General features: G+C 44.2%; 1 protein-coding gene and 1 pseudogene across 8 annotated transcripts, besides 3 other annotated features; one reads left to right on the top strand and one right to left on the bottom strand.

Annotated features, from left to right (window-relative positions):
* The first annotated feature begins 1,030 nt into the window (after positions 1 to 1,030).
* Positions 1,031 to 19,752, top strand: PGLYRP4 (peptidoglycan recognition protein 4). Of its 8 annotated transcripts, none has more exons than XR_921897.3 (10): positions 1,031 to 1,344; positions 1,894 to 1,988; positions 3,681 to 3,770; positions 4,490 to 4,703; positions 6,664 to 6,782; positions 8,093 to 8,245; positions 9,293 to 9,491; positions 12,573 to 12,691; positions 19,235 to 19,378; positions 19,678 to 19,752. XR_921897.3 is itself a non-coding variant. In XM_011509790.1 (10 exons), exons 2-9 carry the CDS (start codon positions 1,940 to 1,942, stop codon positions 19,103 to 19,105), a joined length of 1,122 nt encoding a protein of 373 aa, XP_011508092.1. In that variant the 5' UTR covers positions 1,031 to 1,344; positions 1,894 to 1,939; the 3' UTR covers positions 19,106 to 19,150; positions 19,235 to 19,314. The 8 variants fall into 8 exon arrangements, 6 of the variants coding, with proteins under 6 accessions (XP_011508092.1, XP_011508093.1, XP_011508094.1 ...); XR_007062001.1 differs by having other exon boundaries at positions 18,927 to 19,378; positions 19,681 to 19,752; XM_011509790.1 differs by lacking the exon at positions 19,678 to 19,752 and adding an exon at positions 18,927 to 19,150 and having other exon boundaries at positions 19,235 to 19,314.
* Positions 4,511 to 4,730: an enhancer, noted in NCBI's record as "active region_1743". NCBI's record gives its function as "activates an Ori minimal core promoter by ATAC-STARR-seq in GM12878 lymphoblastoid cells {active_cell/tissue: GM12878}" and the evidence as "EXISTENCE:reporter gene assay evidence [ECO:0000049][PMID:35858748]".
* Positions 5,537 to 5,616: an enhancer, noted in NCBI's record as "active region_1742". NCBI's record gives its function as "activates an Ori minimal core promoter by ATAC-STARR-seq in GM12878 lymphoblastoid cells {active_cell/tissue: GM12878}" and the evidence as "EXISTENCE:reporter gene assay evidence [ECO:0000049][PMID:35858748]".
* Positions 9,761 to 9,850: an enhancer, noted in NCBI's record as "active region_1741". NCBI's record gives its function as "activates an Ori minimal core promoter by ATAC-STARR-seq in GM12878 lymphoblastoid cells {active_cell/tissue: GM12878}" and the evidence as "EXISTENCE:reporter gene assay evidence [ECO:0000049][PMID:35858748]".
* Positions 18,144 to 18,250, bottom strand: RNU6-160P (RNA, U6 small nuclear 160, pseudogene; annotated as a pseudogene).
* Positions 19,753 to 21,236: the final 1,484 nt, after the last annotated feature.

Here is a 21,236-nt window from a genome sequence, read left to right as displayed (position 1 = left end):
TCTCCTCAAGTCCTTGGTGCCCCGGATGCAAGCCCAGAAACCTTCTCATTTTGAGAACTGTTCTACTTATTTAGGATGGGCGGCCAGCAAAAGGCATGGAGAAACAGCATGTTGCCAGGCTGGGGAAACTACCAGGGTCCCTACAGTGCTGGTCCCAGGCTGCAGTTCTTGGTCTCCTTCATCTCTGTCTCTGGCTCTGCCCCACATTCACCCTCACCCCAGGACAGAGCTCAGCAGCCCCTGCTCATCACACAGCTCCAGCCTGGGTCTGGGTGCATGACTGGGATGAATGCCAGGTAGACCTGGCGCATGCTCAATGGGCCCCATCCAGAGAGCGCTCCTGGGGAGCCCAGTCTGAGAGTGGGACTGCAGCTCACTGAGAGCAACTGTTCTGGATTCAGGGCACTTCCTAAGTGTCTAGGGAGGCTGCCCCACCCTCCGGGACATGAGAGGCTCTGCAGGTCCCCGTGGAGACTGCATCCTACTGCGTTCTTGGAAAGTGTCATGCAGAGTTTCCTCTGTGAAGACTCAAGGGCTGTAAGTCCAGGTTGCAGAATGTGGAATGAGATTAGGTGACAACTGGAACATGGCGAGGAGCTGGAGATTCTTGGTTTGTGGGAGGCTTTCTGTGGTAGGTGGCAGCTTGATGCCGACGGTGGGGAGTGGCAGGCGGGAGGATGATGGGCAGACATGTAAGCTATTGGGGCAGAATTAGGCATCGTGAGCTGTTTCCTGAGATTGTACCTCCCAGTTTCTCTCTGTCCATCCTGACCCTGCTCATGACCCTGGTAAAAGGTGGTGTTGGTGAGTGACTTCAATCCACAGTCTTCAGGCTCCTGGAGCAGAACTTCACAGGCAGGAAGTTTCTAGATGTTGCAGACACAACCCTCAGGCCCTGCAGGCTTTCCCAGGTTGGGGCTGAGGACGAGCTCTCGGGAGTGTTGGGCAATCTTGCCCTTTCCCAGGGAGGAGCTACCTGGGCTTATTCACAGGGCGGGTCCCCAGGTGCTCTCAGCCTGAGTCTGGTCCCACTTGCATTTCTCCAGGTGCTGTGAAAGGAGCTGGCTCAGAGCCTTGCCCTCTGTCTTCCCTTCTCCCCATCTTTTGTTAGGGATCCTGGGCTCTCTTCTCTCTGGGAAGCTAGAGCCCGAGTGCTCCATTCCCAGGGAGGGAGTGCCCTCTAGGGCTAGGGAGAGTGAAGGCTGGAGGAGAAGGCGCCAGTTGGTGAAGAAGGGCAGGGCCTGGAGGCCAAGTCTGGAAGGGAAGGAGCTGCTGGCCAATCAGGGGCAAGCTGACTGCACCCTGACCTGCTGGGCTGGGACAGCACAGGACCCACAGATATCTGTGAGTTGAGTATGTGTTTCTTCTTCAGAAGCCCTCTTCCAGCAAAGGGACTGGAATCCACCAGAAAGAGTGTTAAGGATTGGATTTCCTCTGCCCTAGAACTAGGAACCCCTCCTACTCCTATATCTCCCTCATCTGGCATATTCCCAGCTGGGAAGGGATTCTCTGCATAAGACCCATCCATATGAGTCTGGATTTCTCGGTTGTACCATTCTTGGATCTTACTTCCTTTGTCTGTAAAAATGGGGGTTAACAGTCTTACATGACAGGATTAGTGTGAGGACTAATTAAATAAGACTGCATGTGCAAGTGTGTACACAGCCTTGCACGCCGTGGGCACGTGATGAAATTGAGTTCCTCGGGTAATAATAGGACAGGGATGCTGAGCACCTGCTGTATGCTGGGGGCCCTGAGAAGACTGAAGCAGGTGCTGGCCCTCAGGAGGCCACAGGATGGTAGAGGAGGCAGATGGCACCCACTGCAGTCAGGGTTTGGGATGCTCTGCAGATTGAGAATGGTCATGTTAACAACTGTCAGCGTCTCTCTCAGGCTGCCATCCACACTCTCCAGATTGGTGTCCTGGGACCACGTGGGGATGCTGCCGTGGCTTCTTGTCTTCTCTGCTCTGGGTATCCAGGCCTGGGGTAAGTTTTCTTTCCCTGGGCCAAAAAGCAACCGAGAAGGGTGATCCTAAAGTCTCATAATAGGAATTAAAAAATACCTACTGTCCATCTGAGCCTGAGGAGTTCAAGGCTGCAGTGAGCCGAGATCCCACCACTGCACTCCAGCCTGAGTGACAGAGGAAGAACTTGTCTCAAAAACAAACAAACAACAACAAAAAAAACTACTCTCTCTTGGCCAGGGGTGGTGGCTTATGCTTGTAATCCCAGCACTTTGGGAGGCCTAGGTGGGCAGATCACGAGGTTAAGAGATCGAGACCATCCTGGCCAACATGGTGAAACCACGTCTCTACTAAAAATACAAAAATTAGCTGGGTGTGGTGGCACATGCCTCTAGTTCCAGCTACTCAGGAGGGAGGCTGAGGTAGGAGAATTGCTTGAAGCCAGGAGATGGAGGTTGTAGTGAGATGAGATCGTGCCACTGCACTCCAACCTGGGTGACAGAGCGAGAACTTGTCTCAAAAAACAAACAAACCAACAAACAAACAAAAACAAACCCATTCTCTCTTGGCCGGGCGCAGTTGCTCACGCCTCTAATCCCAGCACTTTGGGAAGCCGAGGCATGCAGATAAGGAGGTCAAGAGATCGAGACCATCCTGGCCAACATGGTGAAACTCCATCTGGCGCGCTCCTGTAGTCCCAACTACTCGGGAGGGAGGCATGAGAGAACTGCTTGAACCCGGGAGGCAGAGGTTGTAGTGAGCCGAGATTGAGCCACTGCACTCCAGCCTGGTGACAGAGTGAGAGTCCGTCTCAAACAAACAAACAAACAAAAAACAAAACAAAACGAAAAAATCCCCCAAAACCTACTCTCTCTTAAGGAGAAAGAATAGATTGTACATAGAGCACAGAACTTGGAGCCTATAGACCTGGATTCAAGTCCTCGCTCTGCCTCTAGGAATGATTTTAAACAAGCAATTAAGCTCTATAAACCCTTATTTTCCCATCTGAAAATTGAGATAGTTATGACTTCCTAAACTCACTGTGAGGATTAAATGAGATAATGCACCTGAAGATATAGCAATACGTGGGCAGTAAAAGCAAATAAACAGGAGCAAGGATTACATTTGTGTTATTATGATGTCAATCAGAGTCCAGCCTATGGCTTGGGTTTGTGCTTGTCAATAAGAGAAAGCTCCTTGTGGGTAAGGGTCTCAATCAACACCCTGCCCATCCCCCATGGGCCTTCAGACAGGAGAATGGGCATAGCACACGTCCCTAAAATCAATCCCGGGGGAACTGGTCTGAGCCGTGCAGGTAATTCTAACCCCTTCTTCACACACGCTTCCCCATTGCTTCGGTAAAATGCACACAAGAGAGGACTTTGTGGTTTTGAAGTGTCTGAATACATTTCTAGTTTTTTTTTTTTCCCCGCCAATTGTGTGTGTAGATACAGCTCATGAGAAAAGGATAACATTTCCAACTCCTTGCCTATCCCAGGGGATTTCCCAGAGTTGGCATGGAAGGAAGTTATGCCACCTGCTGCTATTAGAGGTGGCCCTCTGGTCAGCCCAGAGAGATTTCTTAGAGGAGGCTCTGGGATTTGAGGAGGCAGAGGGGCAGTGGAGAGGGGATGGCTGTTTCTGTTCAGAGCTGGTGCCACCATGATGGCTGGTATTGGTGCTCTCTGATGCAAAATGGGATATTCCTTTGCAGGTGATTCCTCCTGGAACAAAACACAAGCTAAACAGGTATCAGAGGGGCTCCAGTACCTATTTGAGAACATCTCCCAGCTCACTGAAAAAGGTAAACTGGATCTGGATAGTAAGGGGGTTTTGGGACGAGCTGGGGTTTTTCATGTGATCGGAAATGTTTCTGAGGTCTGCAAAGCCACATGTGACTGGGAGGGGGAAAATGGGGTTGAAGTGCAGAGAGCAGTACCAGTAAACCACCTGCATTAATTACCCAGGTCCTTGGGATGGAAGGCTGGTGCTGGAGGGCTAGAAACCCAGGAAGAGGGGAAACAGCCTCTGCAGACAGGGACTCCCTGTGGAGGGAGACCCAAACCTTGCCCTCAGGAAGTCCTCAGACTGAGGGGGAGACATAGCCCCTGCTGGGGGGAGAAGATGCAGTCCCCTCAGGGAACACTCAGAACCGCAGAGGAAATGATCAGAGAGCACACATTGAATGCTGAGGTGACACCAAGCCAGGCTGCTCAGGGCTTTCCCCAGGGATAAGCAGGTGATGCTTCCTGAAGTGCAGAGCCTGGACCACAGCAGGGGAGGAGATGAGTAGGGGACATTATGGGATGGGGGAGCAAAGCATTAGGCTCCCTGGCCAGGTGCAGAGTCTGTGTTCGGGGTGAGTGTTGGAGAGATGGGTATGTAGAGGTGGGCAGGGCAGGTGCACCTGCCTGCTGAAGGCTCTTCCACTACCAAGGGGCCGACACAGCCCATGCCTGCATGTTCAGCTTGGCGGGCTAATGCGGTAGTGATGGGGCAGGTGCGCTGAGTGACGTCCCCAAGGCCTTCCCACAGATGTCTCCACCACGGTCTCTCGCAAGGCATGGGGGGCAGAAGCTGTTGGCTGCAGTATTCAGCTGACCACGCCAGTGAATGTCCTTGTTATACACCATGTCCCTGGACTGGAGTGTCACGACCAGACAGTCTGCAGCCAGAGACTGCGGGAACTGCAGGCCCATCATGTCCACAACAACAGTGGGTGTGATGTGGCCTACAAGTAAGAGCTGGGTCTGGGTCCCACGGCACATGGTCAGTGTTGCTTCCCTGGGATGCTTCTCCTGTCCCTTCTCATCCCTTTTCCTCATTTTCTGGGTTGTGGTCCTATATGTTTTATAATGAATAAAATATTTAAAACCCCCATGAAACTCCCAATCCTTTGGATTTTTCTGTGAGGTGCCTGTCTCTGAGAGCTCCCAGGAGGAAGCAAGGAAGGTTAAGTAATAACTGTATTCTCTACCCTCCCCCAACCCTGGCTTGCACAGCACACTACAGATTGCAAACGACTTCCTCATACATGAGGGCTTTAGCTCTCCCGACTGGTAGGCAGGTGTCACCATCTCTTTGCCCTGGGAAGAGGGGCCCAAGGGAGGGAGGCTGATTAATTTGAGGTCACATATCTATGGACCCATGGAGCCTAAACTGGCTCTCTTCATCCCTGGCGTGCTCCTCCACACCACACACATGGGCTCCAGCCTCAGTGAGGCAAATGTCCATCTGTTCCTGTAATGATCGCTCTAGTAGGTCGTACTGGTGCCCATACCACATGCCCTTGGCTCACCTCTGACTTTGGCTAGCTGTGGACAGTTCCTGAGTGCAGTGATGGCTTCCTGCCTCAAGTGCCCAACACATCTCTCTGCTTTCCTGCTTCAGACCTTCCCCCAGCCCCTGACGACAAAAGGGAGTGAATGCCTTCCTGGGGGACAGGGCTTGGTGTGTAGCCTCCTCAACCCCAGCCCTTATGAGAGGCAGTTCTAAAGCGCATGTACACAGCTCCTGGGAAGGCCACAGGGTGGGGTGGAGTCACAGGTAGCCACTGTGAGCCAGCCCAATTTCACATACTTTGCTGGCTTTCTTCCTTCTGTCTCACTCTCCTCACCCTGGCTTCTGGGATCCTGTAAGAATTAAAGAGGAAAGAACCATGAAAGGTGGCTCGACAGTCGAGGACTGGTTTATTTTAGAAAAAACAAAACTGAGAGAGGCTTTTGGCCAAGTTAGGTCAGAGCCTACTCTCTTACAGACTAAGAGTTTTTAAGGTTTCAGGGTGGGAGAGTTTATCAGAGGCTTGGACTGCTTCTGTGTCTTTGTCGTGCTTATCTGGGAGGGACAGTTGTGTGTCTGTTCCCATACATCTTTCTGCAGCTGCAGGCATATCCCCACCGCCCCCCAGTCTGCTTTTAGCTTCCTTATCTTAGTGCACCTGAAGGGAAAGGAATGTGCTTATTAAGGCCCACTGTTTTACTGGGGCCAATTGTATGAGGGTGAAGTTTGGCAGTTACTCAAGGGACTTTCCTCCCACCCCTCTCTGCGCCTGAGCTGTCTTATCTGTGTTTTACTGTCTGCTCTTTCTGGCTGCTTGTTTTTTAGAAGAGAAGTGATTTCCTTGAAATACATGAGGCTAGAAAGGGAGCTGGAATTTAAAGTGGTGGTGTTTGTCTGAGATGATGGTGCTCCTGCTCTGTTAGATCTCTTTGCAGATGAAGTGCCTGCATCCTCGTCCCTGTCTCAGGAGCTATTTCTTGGGAAGTCTATGTAGGACAGTTACGTGACAGGGAGAAATCAAATGAACAGCTCTGCGTGGATCACACAGGCAGCACACACTTTGGAGGAGGTAGGAGAGCCCGGTTTAAGGAAGCGTGGAAGACAGAAGAGCCTTCCATTGTGTGGTCAGTTACCATGGAACCTCTAGGACCTCTTCTCCTGAGCATGTAGAATGATTTATGGTAAAACTGCAGCCTCTGAAAAGGGAAGGGGGTAGGGAGTGTGAGAGTGGGTCCTTCTGAATTCTAAGGACTAGTATAAATGACTTGCTCTTTTCAATGTCTGGGAAGAGTTCATGCAAATTCCTTTTAGTGAACATAGCTTCAGTCCTTCTCCATTTTGAGGCTGGGTAAGTGGTTTCACCTCTCAGGAATGTCCTACAGTGCCAGCCATGAAACCTGTATTATCTTGCTCCATAGCTTCCTGGTTGGGGATGATGGCAGGGTGTATGAAGGTGTTGGCTGGAATATCCAAGGAGTGCACACCCAAGGCTACAACAACATCTCCCTGGGCTTTGCCTTCTTTGGCACTAAGAAAGGTAACAGTTATCACAGCTGACCTTCTCCAAAGAGTTCTCTAATCCTTTGTCTCAGGGGCCACTTCATGGGAACTAGCTATCTGCTACTCTGCTGTCTTATCCTTCTCATACTTCTCTGAAGACCCACTCTCTCTTGGAATTTTCTTCTTCCTTGATTTCCAGGAAATGACTTTGTGAAGGGTCTCTTCCTACTGCCCTGGCTTCCTTCTCAACCCCTGTAAACAGGCTCCTCTTTCTCTAGCCATCTTTTATGTGGAGATGCTGACCAGTCATCTCTCTGCAAGCTTATCTGGGCTTCAGCTCTCTCCTCTATGTCAATGACTAACACATCTTCCTCTTGAGCTCTGACCATTCTGTGGCTGTGGGCCATGCTTTCCAAGTTCCTGCCAGGCACCTCTTCCTTTCATCTCTTACTCCTAGATTTTCTATATATTTCTAAAAAAAAACCACTCTGGGTCCCCTAATCTCTGACTCTCTTCTACTTCTTTCTGGACTGTTGCTCCAAGGCCCCTTGCCACATGCATCTTAACATATGTACTCCAGGACCATTCCTTTGAATTTGTGTACCCTTTCCCGTTAACAGAGATCTTACATACCTAGTTTCTCATTTTCCCCTTCCAGTACCTTTTGAGAGAGTCCAGGTAGATTTCATGACCCCTGTTGTGCAGAGGTGCAGTCTGGGTTTCAGAGAGGTCGATGACCCCAAGTGACACAGCTAGAAGGAGAGGAATCAGAACATGGTCCATATCTTTTATCTCCAGCTCCTGGGTGGTTTCCCCAGCACTCCAGAGGACTCTGTGTTTATCTTGTTTTTGCTTTTGTTTTCATGACTACTCATTTCCATTTGTCGTTAGCTTGGGATCTTGAGCACATTACTTCTCAGAGCCTCAAGTTCCTCTTCACAAATAATGCAGTTAATAATAGCATCTCTCAGAGGTTTGTGCTGCTGATTAAATGAGTTATTGTAGGCAAAGAGCCTGACACATGCCTGGAGGGGCCCCTTCTGATGGGAAACCCTGGCCTGGCCTGGCGGGTGCTGCTGGGCTTGGTGCTGCTTCTGAGCTCTTTCATGGAGAGAGGAGGTGAAGTTTGGCAGGTATTTGGGATGAGAAAGGACTTCATTTTGAGCCACTGAGAGATCTTTCCAGGAAGATCCTTAATTCTCAGCCTCTCCAACTGGGGGCATAACCTGTTCCCTTTTCTTCCTCTCCATCAGCTGTGCAGGGGCTGGCAGAGCATCTTCTCCTTCCCCAAAAGATCCCCTGAAACTCAGGCTGGGTGGAGGTTTCCCACAGATTTCTCTCTTCTAGGCCACAGTCCCAGCCCTGCTGCCCTGTCGGCCATGGAAAACCTAATCACCTATGCTGTCCAGAAGGGCCACCTGTCATCCAGTTATGTTCAGCCACTTCTTGGGAAAGGCGAGAACTGCCTGGCCCCTCGGCAGAAGACAAGCCTGAAGAAGGGTAAGACCTTTCTTCAGCCCTACTGGGCCTGCCACTGGGCTCACCCCAACTAACTCGCAAATACCATTGGGAGTGACCTTTTCAGTAGGGCCCATTAGATTCCTTCTGGAAGGCAACTGGCCACCCAACTCTCTGAACTCTTGGGGCTGGCAAATCTTGAGAGGAAACCTCCAGGCCACCTCTTTGTCCCTCAGATTCCTCATATGAAAGAGCCATAGCATTATCCCTGGTGTCATATATGCACACTCCTTTCTTCCATCACTCAACAAGCAATTACTGAACACCTTCTAGACCCTGAAAATATACTCAGGAATGAAAAGCAAAAGTCCCTGGCCTCATGAAGTTTCAGTCTAGAGGGCAGAGAAAGACAATAAGCAAATAAATAAGTGACATATTGGGATGTTATATGGAGAAAAGTGCAAGGGAGGAAACAATGGAAAGGGACTGGACACATTTATACACATATTTATACACTCATATGTTTACACATGAACACACACAAACACACATTTCTGAATACAAAAACCAAAACAACACGAATAGACTGAAGTGCTGCAGAAAACTTAGACCACCACTTACACAGACTTTAAAGAAAGAGCTCAACATAATTCAGATAATAAAAGGTGGATACCATTTTGGGTTTAACAAGCAGCAACATCAAAAACAGTAAATTTAATAAGCACTTTCAGCCTTTTCTTGGGCTTAATCAAGATTGAAAGAAGATTCATCTCTATTATATTAAAGCCTTGAGTAAATTTGATCTCTGGTGCCATCTGTTAACATAAATGATCGCTTACATTGACAGAGAGTTTCATGGATTACAAATGACTCAAATACATATTCTTAGAATAAAATGTCCATGTCCCACTGCGGGACACTGTCTGCTCTCAAGTCCCACTGTTGGGGGCAGGGTGGTTGGGGGCAGGGTGGGAGACCCAGAGGGGTTTGGGAAGTTGAGGGTCCTGAGCATTATATCAGCCTACGGTGGAGAAGTGGCTGGCATAGATGGGGAAGATGAACCCTCTGTGGTTTCTCGCCCCACCTCAGCTTGCCCCGGCGTTGTCCCACGGTCTGTGTGGGGAGCCAGGGAGACCCACTGTCCCAGGATGACTCTCCCAGCGAAGTATGGCATCATTATCCACACTGCCGGGAGGACCTGCAACATTTCTGATGAGTGCCGCCTGCTGGTCCGGGACATCCAGTCTTTCTACATAGACAGGCTCAAGTCATGCGACATTGGTTATAAGTGAGTGGGTCTGGGTACACTGGGCTTCTTTTCCCTTGGGGGCAGAAACTGAGCCTTTGAAAGGAAGGGGAAAGGGAACTAATATTTACTGGGTAGTCACCATAGGAGAGGCACTGTATGGATAACCAAATGAATTCATCACACGACCCTGCCTGGGTCTTTCTTAGGAGATAGCCAAGGGGGTAGTCATTTGCCCAAACATGTTCTCAAGATGTGTACCTACTAAAGGTAGTACACTGGCATGACGGATGCTACAACTCTGCCAAAAAGTCACTGGAGGAAGCAGTACGCATGCAAGATTGTGACACCTGTAGAAAAGATAATCGAAAGATTGTGCTTTGTTTGTGTAACCACCGCCTCCTACTCAGAGGCTGGGGCTCTGCTGCTCACTTTGGCCACAACCTGAAGTGGTTCCCCCTCATGGTAGACCCGTGCTGCTTCTCTGCTTCTAGAAACCACCAACTTCCTTGGGAAGGATATCCTTCCTGTCTGAAGGCGGGGGAGAGACCAAATACTATCTTTTGATTTCTCTAATGCTAAGGTCTGTGATTCTTTAATAAGGAAGACACAGACCTAAGTGGAAGAGTAAACATTTCTTTTTTTTTTCCCCATTAAGCATTATCTTAAAGGGTCTCAAAATTCTGTGACACATTTTTGATCAAGATGTTTCCATTAAAAAGTATTGATTTTAAAAACTGCTACACAAACACACAAAATGAATAGTCCACAAAACAAGTAGAAATTTCTTGAAGGATGCTTTCAGAGTTTGCAGATAAGACATCCGGCGTTAGACCCCATGTAACATCCCATCAGGAAAATTCACACTAAATTTTAAATCTCAGAAAAAGCTACTGGTAGACCATTTGGCATATTCATGCACATTCATAGAAGGAACCTTTAACTCTAGGGCCATTTATGGCTTAGCGATGAATTTACCATTGCTTGGTACACGATTCTGGGCTGACTGTCTCTCCCCTCTCTGGCCCCTTGCTCTCTGTCCCCATTTTAGTAGCACCCTTTTCAAGATAGGAGAAAACCTTCCCTCCAACACCTATGACGTATCAGAACCTACCAAGTGCTTTGCTAGGTCCTGCCATACAGGATTACTTGCAGCGTTGCTGTCTTTAATAAGAGTGGATACCTGAAAATGGACTGTAAATTTGGAAAGCCTAAACTGGAAAGTGGTGGAGGCTGAGGGGAGGCCCTTTCCCTTTTTCCATTCAGGTCTCAGAGGGTAGTTGCCTGTCCCTTGACTTGGACCTTGTACTGTATCCTCTTCTATTATAGCATTATGACTGTGTCATTTTCTTTCATTGAGGTGGTCTGTAGTCAGGATGACACACTCCCTCCTTCATAGATTACAATTCACTGAACATGTAATTGAATGTGTACTCTGCGTGGCACAAGGCTACTCTGGGGATGCCATCGGATGTGCCTCACAGATATGGTTCTTGCCTGCATGGAGCCAATGCTTTAGTGAGGAAGAAAAGTAATTCAAACAAATAAGTTCTAGTAGGGTAGGTTAAACATTATTATAGGGGACACATGGAGGGTAGACGGGAGGTTTAGGATGCCAGGAAAATAGGCGTGAAGGAAGCAATCCCTGTGGGAACATCAGATTAGCTGAGGCCTTACAGTTGAGTGGGAGGAGGAAGCAGGAAGAGTGATTCAGGAAGAGGGAAATGGCCTCTGTGGAAAGGACTGAATTCCAGCCTGAGAGAGGCGCCTGTGGGGAGCTGAGAGAAGTTCATTGGGATAAATATAGATGTCAAAGAGGAGTGTGGTAGAGCTGATGCTGGGGAGGCAGACACAGTCCATGTCAGAAGGATTTTGTAACTTAAGCTGGGGTGTGTGCACTCAGTGCTGAGGGACTGAAAACAGGGTTTTGACATAGTAAGATTTGTATTTTAGAAAGACCAGTCTGGCTACCCTTTAGGAATGGACTGGATGGGAAAGGGTGGAACTGGAGGCCGTGAGATCTGAGGACTGTGCAGCAATCCAGGCAGGACTGAGTGGTGACATCCCTGTGATGGTAGCAGAGGTTACAGAGATAAGTGGAAGAATTTCAGAGGTCAGTGGAGGTTAATGGTTAATGACCAGGGTGCAGGGCAGATCAGGGAGTGTAGTTGGGAGACATCATTGACAAGCCTGGGTTAACGAGTGGATGAAGTGGGTGGGCTGATGCCTGTATTCCTGGCTGGGGCCAATGGGTGGGTGGGTGACCATGCCTTTCACCAAGATGGGGATCCCAGAAAGGGGAACAGGTGACGAAGAAGATGGGTCCAGTTGTGAACGTGCGGACTTTCATGGATAGCAACTGAAGCCAAGGAAGTGGATGGGTTAGTCCTGTGTGGAGTATGGGGAGAAGAGAGCTGAGGATAGCATCCTGAGGAACCTCACATTTAAGGAAAGGGTGCAGGAAGATGAGGTGTGGAGGGAGAGCAGCTGGAGAAGAAAGCCAAGAGAGTGTGGTGTGATGGAAGCTAAGGGAAGAGAGTGTTTGGAGAAGTCAAGAGGTGTGGCAGAGTCAAATGTACAGAGAGATCAAGTCAGGAAAGACTGGGGAAGTTTACTTTGTATTTAATGGTAAGGAGATCCTGGGTCACCTTGGGGGAAACCGTTTTCTTGGTGAGAAGGAGAAAAGGCCTAGGGATTGAAAGCTGTCATTCTCTTTTATCTTCATTGACTGTGAGCTACCTGGGGGCCGCAGTGGTGTGCTGGAGCCGAATGGGCTTGTGCCAGCTCATGAGAGCTGATTGTTAGAGATTCTGGAATTTTGAGAGCTGGTTGTTAAATTGTTGGTCACCTGAAATCTGCTATAGTGAGAGGTTTACACCACAGAAATCAGCATATGCTGTAAATTGGGATTCCCTCTCCCTACCCTGCCTCCCTCATTCCCCCTGAGCTAGTTTACCAGCACTCCATTGGCAAGGACTCTGTCTTGTTTCTGTAACCCAGTGCTTAGAATCCAATAGATAATCAAAGTCTGAAGTAGTAAAGACATGAATAAATTAATACATGAAAGAGAGAAACAATTCCAGAATTTCATGCTGGTCTCCATCTCCCCTTGTGGTCCTCTAGCTTCCTGGTGGGCCAGGATGGCGCCATTTATGAAGGGGTGGGCTGGAATGTCCAAGGCTCCTCCACCCCTGGCTACGATGACATTGCCCTGGGCATTACCTTCATGGGCACCTTCACAGGTAAGTGGATGCTTTGGTCAGTAGGGTCATTGCATGGTATTTGAAAGAGAGCATCTGACATGGAAGACAAAGTCTCAGTCTCAAGCGTCATTTTAGTGCCTGCATATGCTTGATTGACCCAGCTTCCAATCCAACATTTGACTCAGCTGAGTGTGACCAGAGGTGACCCCCAGACATAATGCTCACCCTATATCTACCCTCCTTTACACCCAGCCAAATGTCTCTTTCTTCCAATATGTAAGGAACATGCAAAGTAAGGGGAAAAGATCTTTGTGCTTATTTTTAGCTCATCTTGGTCAGCAGATGCATCTTCTCTTGGTTACCATGACAACAATGTAGAGACACTTTTCCTTATATGCCAAAGCCACAGTGAGCCCCAGTCTTTGCACTGAGAGTGCACACTGAGAATTGTCATGGCTCAGAGCTCTATTTTACTTTTTTTTTCATTTTTATAGATTTAGGGGCTACAAATCTATTGTGTTACATGGATATACTACACAGTGGTGAAGTCTGGGCTTTCAGTGTACCCATCACCTGAGTAGTGTACATGGTACCCATTAAATAACGTCTTATCCCTAATCCTGCTCTCACCTTCCCACCTTTTGAAGTCTCTGATGTCTATTATTGTACTCTGTGTGCCAATATGTACCCATTGTTTAGCTTTCACTTATAAGTGAGAACATGTAGTTTTTCATTTTCTGTTTTTGAGTCATTTCACTTAGGAATATGGCCTCCATTTCCACTTATGTTGCTGTAAAAGACATGATTTCTTTTCTTTTCTTTCTTTGTTTTTTTTTTTTTTTTTTTTTTTGAGATGGAGTCTCGCTCTGTCACCCAGGCTGGAACACAATGTGCAGTTTTGGCTTACTGAAACCTCCGCCTCCTGGGTTCAAGCGATTCTCTGGCCTCAACCTCCCGAGTAGCTAGGACTACAGGCATATGCCACCACACCTGGCTAATTTTTGCATTTTTAGTAGAGACAGGCTTTCATCATGTTGGCCAGACTTGTCTCGAACTCCTGACCTCATGATCCTCCCGTCTCGGCCTCCCAAAGTGAGCCACCATGCCACGATTTCATTTTTTGATGGCTGAATAGTATTCTATGGTGTACACACACACACACACACACACACACGCACGCACCCTACCTTTTCTTTATTCAGTCATCCATTGATGGACATTGAAGTGATTCAACGCCTTTGCTATTATGAATAGTGTTGAGATAAACATATGAGTGCAAATGTCTTTTTGATATAATGATTTCTTTTTCTTTGGGTTGATACTATTTGGATTGCTGAATCAAATGGCTATTTTATTTTTAGCTCTTTGATAAATCTCCATAGAGGTTGTACTAATTTACATTCTCATCAATAGTGTGTAAGCATTCCCTTTTCTCTGCATCCTCAGCAACATCTGTTATTTTTTGACTTATTTATTTATTTATTTATTTATTTATTTAGACAGAGTCTTGCTCTGTCGCCAGGCTGGAGTGCAGTGGTGTGACCTCGGCTCACTGCAACCTCCGCCACCCGGGTTCAAGCAATTCTCCTGCCTCAGCCTCCCGAGTAGCTAGGACTACAGGTGCATGCCACCACACCCAGCTAATTTTTTAATTTTTAGTAGAGACAGGGTTTCACCATGTTGGCTAGGATGGTCTCAGTCTCTGTCAATCTGACTGGTGTAAGATGCTATCTCATTGTGATTTTAATTTGCATTTCTCTGATGATTAGTAATGTTGAGCATTTTTTCATGGTTTTTGGCTGCTAGCATGTCTTCTTTTGAAAAATGTCTGTCTACATCCTTTGCTCACTTTTTAATGAGCTGACTTTTTTCCTTAAAAGTTGTTTGAGTTCCTTGTAGATTCCGGGTATTAGCTCTTTGTCAGATGCATAGTTTGCAAACATTTTCTCCATTCTGTAGGTTGTCTGTTTACTCTGTTGATTATTTCTTTTGCTGTGAAGAAATATTTTAGTTTAATTAAGTCCCATTTGTCTTTTTTGTTTTTGTTGCATTTGCTTTTGAGGACTTAGTCATAAATGCTTTGCCTAGGCCCATGTCCAGAAGAGTTTTTCCCTGGGTTTTCTTCTAAGATTTTTATAGTTTGAGATCTTAAATTTAAGTCTTTAATCCATCTTGAGTTAATGTTTATATGCAGTGGGTCTAGTTTCATTCTTCTGCATGTGACTATCCAACTTTCTCAGCACCATTTATTCAATAGGGTGTCCTTTCCCTGGTGTATGTTTTCGTCAACTTTGTCAAAGATCAGTTGTGTGTAGCTATGTGGCTTTACTTCTGGGTTCTCTATTGTGTTCCATTGATCTATGTATCTGTTTTTATACCAGTACGATGCTAATTTGGTTACTATAGTCTTGTAGTATAATTTGAAGTCAGGTAATATGATACCTCCAGCTTTATTCTTTTTACTTAGAATTGCTTTGGCTATTTGGGTTCTTTCTTAGTTCCATATGAATTATAGAATAGTTTTTTCAAATTCTGTGAAAAATGATGTTTGTAATTTGATAGGAACTGCGTTGAATCTGTAGATTGCTTTAGGCAGTATGGTCACTTTAATGACACTGATCCTTCAAATCCATGAGCATGGGATGTCTTCTCATTTGTTTGTGTCATCTACAATTTTTTTCATCAGTGTTTTGTAGTTCTTCTTGTAGAGATCTTTCACCTCCTTGGTGTATATATATATAAATATATATAAATAAATATATATATATTTATACACACACATACACATACTAGGAATACATATATATATATCAGGAATACATATATATACACACTAGGAATACATATATATACATACAAACATATACACACCTATATATAACAGGTGTATTTATCTATCTATATCTATCTATATGTAGCTATTGTATATGGAATTGAGTTCTTGATTTGGTTCTTAGCTGATTGTTATTGGTGTATAGAAATGCTACTGATTTTTGTACATTGATTTTGTATCTTGAAACTACTGAAATTATTTATTAAATATAGGAGTCTTTTGAAGGAGTCTTGAGGGTTTTGTAGGTATAAGATTATATCATCAGTGAACAGAGATGATTTGACTTCCTCTTTTCCAATTTGGGTGCCTTTTATTTCTCTCTCTTGCATGATTGTTTTCTTCAATACTGTGTTGAATAGGAGTGGTGAAAGTGGGCATCTTTGTCTTTTTCTAGTTCTTAGGGGGAATGTTTTCAACTTCTTACCATTCAGTATGATGTTGATTGTGATTTTGTCATATACGGATTTTTTATTCTGAGGTATGTTCTTTTGATGCCTAGTTTGTTGAGAGTTTTTATCATGAAGTAATGTTGGATTTAATTGAATGCTTTTTCTGCATCAAAACTATTATATAGTTTTTGTTTTAATTCTGCTTATGTGGTGAATCACATTTATTTATTTGCATATGTTGAACCATCTCTGCTTCCCAGGAATAAAGCCCACTTGATTGTGGGAATTAACTTTTTGATATGTTGTTGGATTTAGTTCGCTAGATTTTTGTTGTGAACTTTTGCATCGATATTAATCAGGGCTATTGGCCTGTAGTTTTGGTTGTTGTTGTTGTGTCCTTACCTGGCGTTGGTATAAGAGTGGCTTTGTAGATGAGTTGGGGAGGATTCCCTCCTCCTCAGTTTTTGGGAACAATTTTAGTAGGGTTGGTATTCTTCCTTTTACATCTGGTAGAATTCGGCTGTGAATCCATCTGGTCCTGGGCTTTTTGTTGTTGGGAGAATCTTTTTTTAATTACTGATTCAATTTAATTATTTGTTATTGGTCTATTAATGATTTCTATTTCTTCCTGGTTCAGTCTTGGGATGTTGTATGTTTCCAGGAATTTATCCATTTCCTCTAGGTTTTTTAGTTTATATGCATAGAGATGCTCATAGTAATCTCTGACAATCTTTTGTTATTTCTGTGGTATCAACTGTAATGCAACCTTTATTATTTCTGATTGTGGGTGTTCTAATATTATCTCTTTTTTTCTTGGTTAATCTAGCTAGTGGTCTGTGAGTTCTGTTCTGTTTATCTTTTCAAATAACCAACTTTTTGTTTCATTGATCCTTTCTATTTCTTTTTTTTTGGTCTCATATAGAGACCAAATGCTCAAAGAAGTTCTACACAATACCATTTAGTTCTGCTGTGATCTTTATTATTTCTTCTGCTAGTTTTGGGTTTTTTTTGTTCTAGATTTTCTATTTTCTTGAGTTGTGACATAGGTTGTTAATTTGAGACCTTTCTATCTTTCTGATAGAGGCATTTGATGCTGTAACATTCCATCTTATCACTGTTTTTTGTTGTATCCCAGAGGCTTTGGTATGTTGTGTCTCTATTTTCATTTATTTCAAAAAATCTTTAATTTTGGCCTTAATTTTATCATCGACCCAATGACCATTCAGGAGCAGGTTGTTTAATTTCCATGTATTTGTATAGTTTTGAGAGTTACTCTTGGTATTGATTTCTAGTTTTCTTCCACTGTGGTCCAACAAGATACTTGATATGATTTTAATTTTTAAAAAATTTATTGAGGCTTGCTTTGTGGCCTAGCATATGGTCTATTTTTGAGACTGTTCTGTGTGCAGAAGAGATGAATATATATTCTAACATTGTTGACTAGAAAGTTCTGTAAATGTCTGCTAGGTCTATTTGATCTAGAGTCCAATTTAAGTCTAGAGTTTCTTTGTTGATTTTCTGCCTTGATGATCTGTCCAGTGCTGTCAGTGGGGTGTTGAAGCTCTCCACTATTATTATATTGCCATTCATCTCTTTTCTTAGGTCTAGCAGTATTTGTTTTATGAATGTGGGTGCTCTGGTAATGAGATCTTAAATTTCAGTTTTTAATCCATCTTGAATTAATGTTGCATTATATATATATGAGTTGGGTGCATATATATTTAGGATTGTTATAGCTTCTTATTGAATTGATCCTTTTATCATTACATAATGAACTTCCTTATCTTTTTTTTTAACTGTTTTGACTTAAAGTCTGTTTTACTTGATATAGTGTAGCAACTCCTCCTCCTTTTTGGTTTCCATTTACATGAAATATCTTTCTCTACCCTTGATTTTGAGTCTGTAAATTTATTTACCAGTTAGGGGGTTTCTTGTAAGCAGCATACAGTTGGATTTTGTGTTTTTATTCATTAGTCAGCCTATATTTTTTAAGTGAAGCCTTTAGTTCATTTTCGTTTAAGGTGAATATTGATATGTGAGGATTTATTCCTGTCATAATGTTAATGGTTACCCAGTTGCTTTGCAGTCTCGATTGAGTAATTGCTTTATAAGTCCTGTGAGTTTTGTACTTTCATATGTTTTTATGATAGTGTGTATTGCCCTTTAGTTTCCATCTGTAGAACTTCTTTGAGCATTTCTTATAGGACCAGCCTAGTGGTGACAAATTCCCTTAGCATTTGCTCCTTTAGGAAACACTTTATTTCTCCATACAAATATGGAATGCTTCACGAATTTGCATGTCATCCTACTTCAGGGGCCACACTAATCTTCTCTGTATCATTCCAATTTTAATGTATGTCCTACCAAAGTGAGAACAACTCAAAGTTCTTAATCAGTTTGTTTAGACTCAAGGGCCTTTCACCAAACCTCTGAAAAGATGAGGTCATGTCACTGGGGCTGATTCAGTGACATGGCCCATACTAAAATGGGCATTGGGTCGGGGGATGGGGTGAACCAGGACTGTGACTTGATACTGGGCTGAGCATTGAGCTAGACATGAAAGGGTACAGGCAGTACATTGTGATTAAATCAAGTTTCTCAACCTCAGTACAATTGATATTTTGGCTCAGATAATTCATTGTTGTCAGAGGCTGTCCCGTCCTAGGATGTTTAGCAGTATCCTTGGCTTCTACCGACTAGTATTCCCCTGCATCCCAGTTTTCACAACCAAAAATATCTCATGACACTGCCAAATGTCCTTTGGGGGGCTAAATTGCACCCTTATAAAGAACTACCAGGCTAAACTTTTGCAGTGGATAAAAGCTTTGTATATCCTCAGAAGAATTTATTATCCCAGGCTTGGCTCTTTTGATTCAGGAAAACTTTGGCACTAAGAAATCTGAAGTCTTGACCTTGTTTTTTTTGCCTGTCTCTAGGGAGGCTGCCAACAGTGGAATCTATTAGCTTGGTGATGAGGGTGGGTTCTGGGGATATGTTCTATTTTGCAGGGTGCCCTGTAATCCTGTAGACAATGGGCTGCTGTGTTTTGCAGGTATACCACCCAATGCTGCAGCACTAGAGGCAGCCCAAGACCTGATCCAGTGTGCCATGGTCAAAGGGTACCTGACTCCCAACTACCTGCTGGTGGGCCACAGTGATGTGGCCCGAACCTTGTCTCCTGGGCAGGCTTTGTACAACATCATCAGCACCTGGCCTCATTTCAAACACTGAGAGAAGCCCCAGGTCCTTCTGAGACTGCTTTCCCTCCCCTGTCAGGTCTCTCCTGTCCTAACCATCCAGCTTGGCTCAACACCTTTTGCCCTCCTCCCCTGCCACACAGTCCTGTGCCTCCTTTTTCAGGTTGGGATGATCATGCCCTCTCCTGCCAACATCCTCCAAGGGCCTCCAAACCTCATAGCTGGACATTCACAGCCCTCTGAGTCTGAGTCCAGATTTCTTCTCTCCTTACCTTCCTCTCCCTTGGAAACCCAACTCCTCAGCCAGGTGAGACAATGGGCTGGTTCTTGTTTCATTTCTCTCTCTCTCTCCATTCCCCTCTGCCTGGTGAGCCTTCCCCTGGTGTCTGCCTGGCAGCCCCCACCTCCCACCTATCACCCCTCACCCATAACTCAGGTCAACGTGACCAACCTTCCTTGCTTACACATAAACTTGTATATATTTGGATGTAGCCCTTATTTAATGGCTGTCATTATTTATAGATATGTCTATCCTTGCTACTTGGTTGTGAGTTTCTCCAGGGGAGGAACTGTGTTTTATTCATCTCTATGTCCTCTGTTTCTCAGCAGTGTCTGAAATTTAATGGGTTCTACTGATGTTTATTAGAGAAATGGATGAATAAATGAATGAAGAGATCCAAATTCATGTTCACCTTGCCAATTCACTACATCATCCCCTATTTGGAGAAGAACTTTCTGGACAGTGCCCGCATACCACCAGCATTTTCTGTGTTTCTGTTCCCTCTCAGTCCAAGAGCCATAAGATCTCTATGGTACCAGCATCTGTGTAAGAGGAAGCAAAGAGAAGCAACAGGGTGTCTGGTGGACATGAGAACCTAAAATAACCAAGATATTTTTACCCCAAATTTTTGACAGCTTAGCATCTAAAATCAAGAGGCCTTTTTGCACACTCCAATGGTGTGTAAACACAAAGGATTCTGTAGTAAGATCTGCAGGAACTGGAACGGTTTGGGTCCTATGCCTCTCAAAACTAGCCAGCTAAAATTCCCTTCTAGAACAAAGCCCCACAGGTGAGAACTGCTGGAAACAGAATCTAATTCAGTCCAGGCCTAAGAGATTAAAAAAAGAAAAAACAAAAAAGAAGCTCACATGAAAGTGTGGAAAGGCAGTGGAGCAAGAAGCTCTCTGAATATAAGCCATCATAATGTTGAACATTTACTTGAAAAAAATAATAGAAGGTGTCCCAGAGTGATTGAATTAAAAAAGCTTCTCAAAACCATACATCTTTAAAGTTGAGGAAAGCTAATATATAAAATAAACAACAGAAAATAATTGAGGTTCAAACCCACATAAAGTCATTTTAAGATAAAAATAGAATCAGGAGCAGAATAAAGAAAATAAAAGCATTACATAAAGACATGCTTATGGGTGAAAACTATAAACTACAATTTCAAACTGAGCTAAAATAATTAGGAAAATAATACAAGATATGAAAGAACAATTAATGGAAAGTACAAAAACTCAGAAATAAGGTAATGGGGCTCAGAAGAGAATAAGAAATAAAGGAAATATCAATTTCAGAAATAATCAGTAAAAAAAAAATGTTAAAAGTGGATATACATAATGGATAATGCCTTTAAAGAAAAATAAGATAAAACGAAGGAAAATTCTAAAATAAAAAATAAACTAAAAAGTAACATTAAAATAATTAGAGAGAAAGTGATAAATATAAAAGATAGGCAAAGAAGATACAAGATACAAGTATACATGTAACTGGAGTCCCTAAAGAAGAAAACTGAAGTAAAGGAACAGAACAAATATTCAAAACTACTATGCTAGAAACACCTCCTGAAATAAAAAAAATTCGAAATTTTGTTTTTAAAGGGCACATTTCCTACCAGAAAAGATGCACTCAAAATGATGAATGCAAACATACGGTCTATTTGAACTAATGGATTTTTAAGAACTCATTCTCTTTAGTGGAAAATATCCTTTGGGCATTCAGGAAAAAACAAAAAAACAAATCACTAATAAGAGAGAAAAATATCATCAGACTTATTGACAACAACATTTTGGGCTAGGAGAAAATATAATAACACATTTTAAAAATAAGAAAAAATGTGATCCAAGGATTATGTTCAATCAAATTGACTTTTATATACAAA

The sequence above is a fragment of the Homo sapiens genome, chromosome 1 (assembly GCF_000001405.40).
Source record: "Homo sapiens chromosome 1, GRCh38.p14 Primary Assembly".
Lineage (NCBI taxonomy): Eukaryota > Metazoa > Chordata > Mammalia > Primates > Hominidae > Homo > Homo sapiens.
The sequence above is the reverse complement of the archived record's forward strand: the minus strand, read 5'-3'. Positions and strand labels throughout refer to the sequence as shown.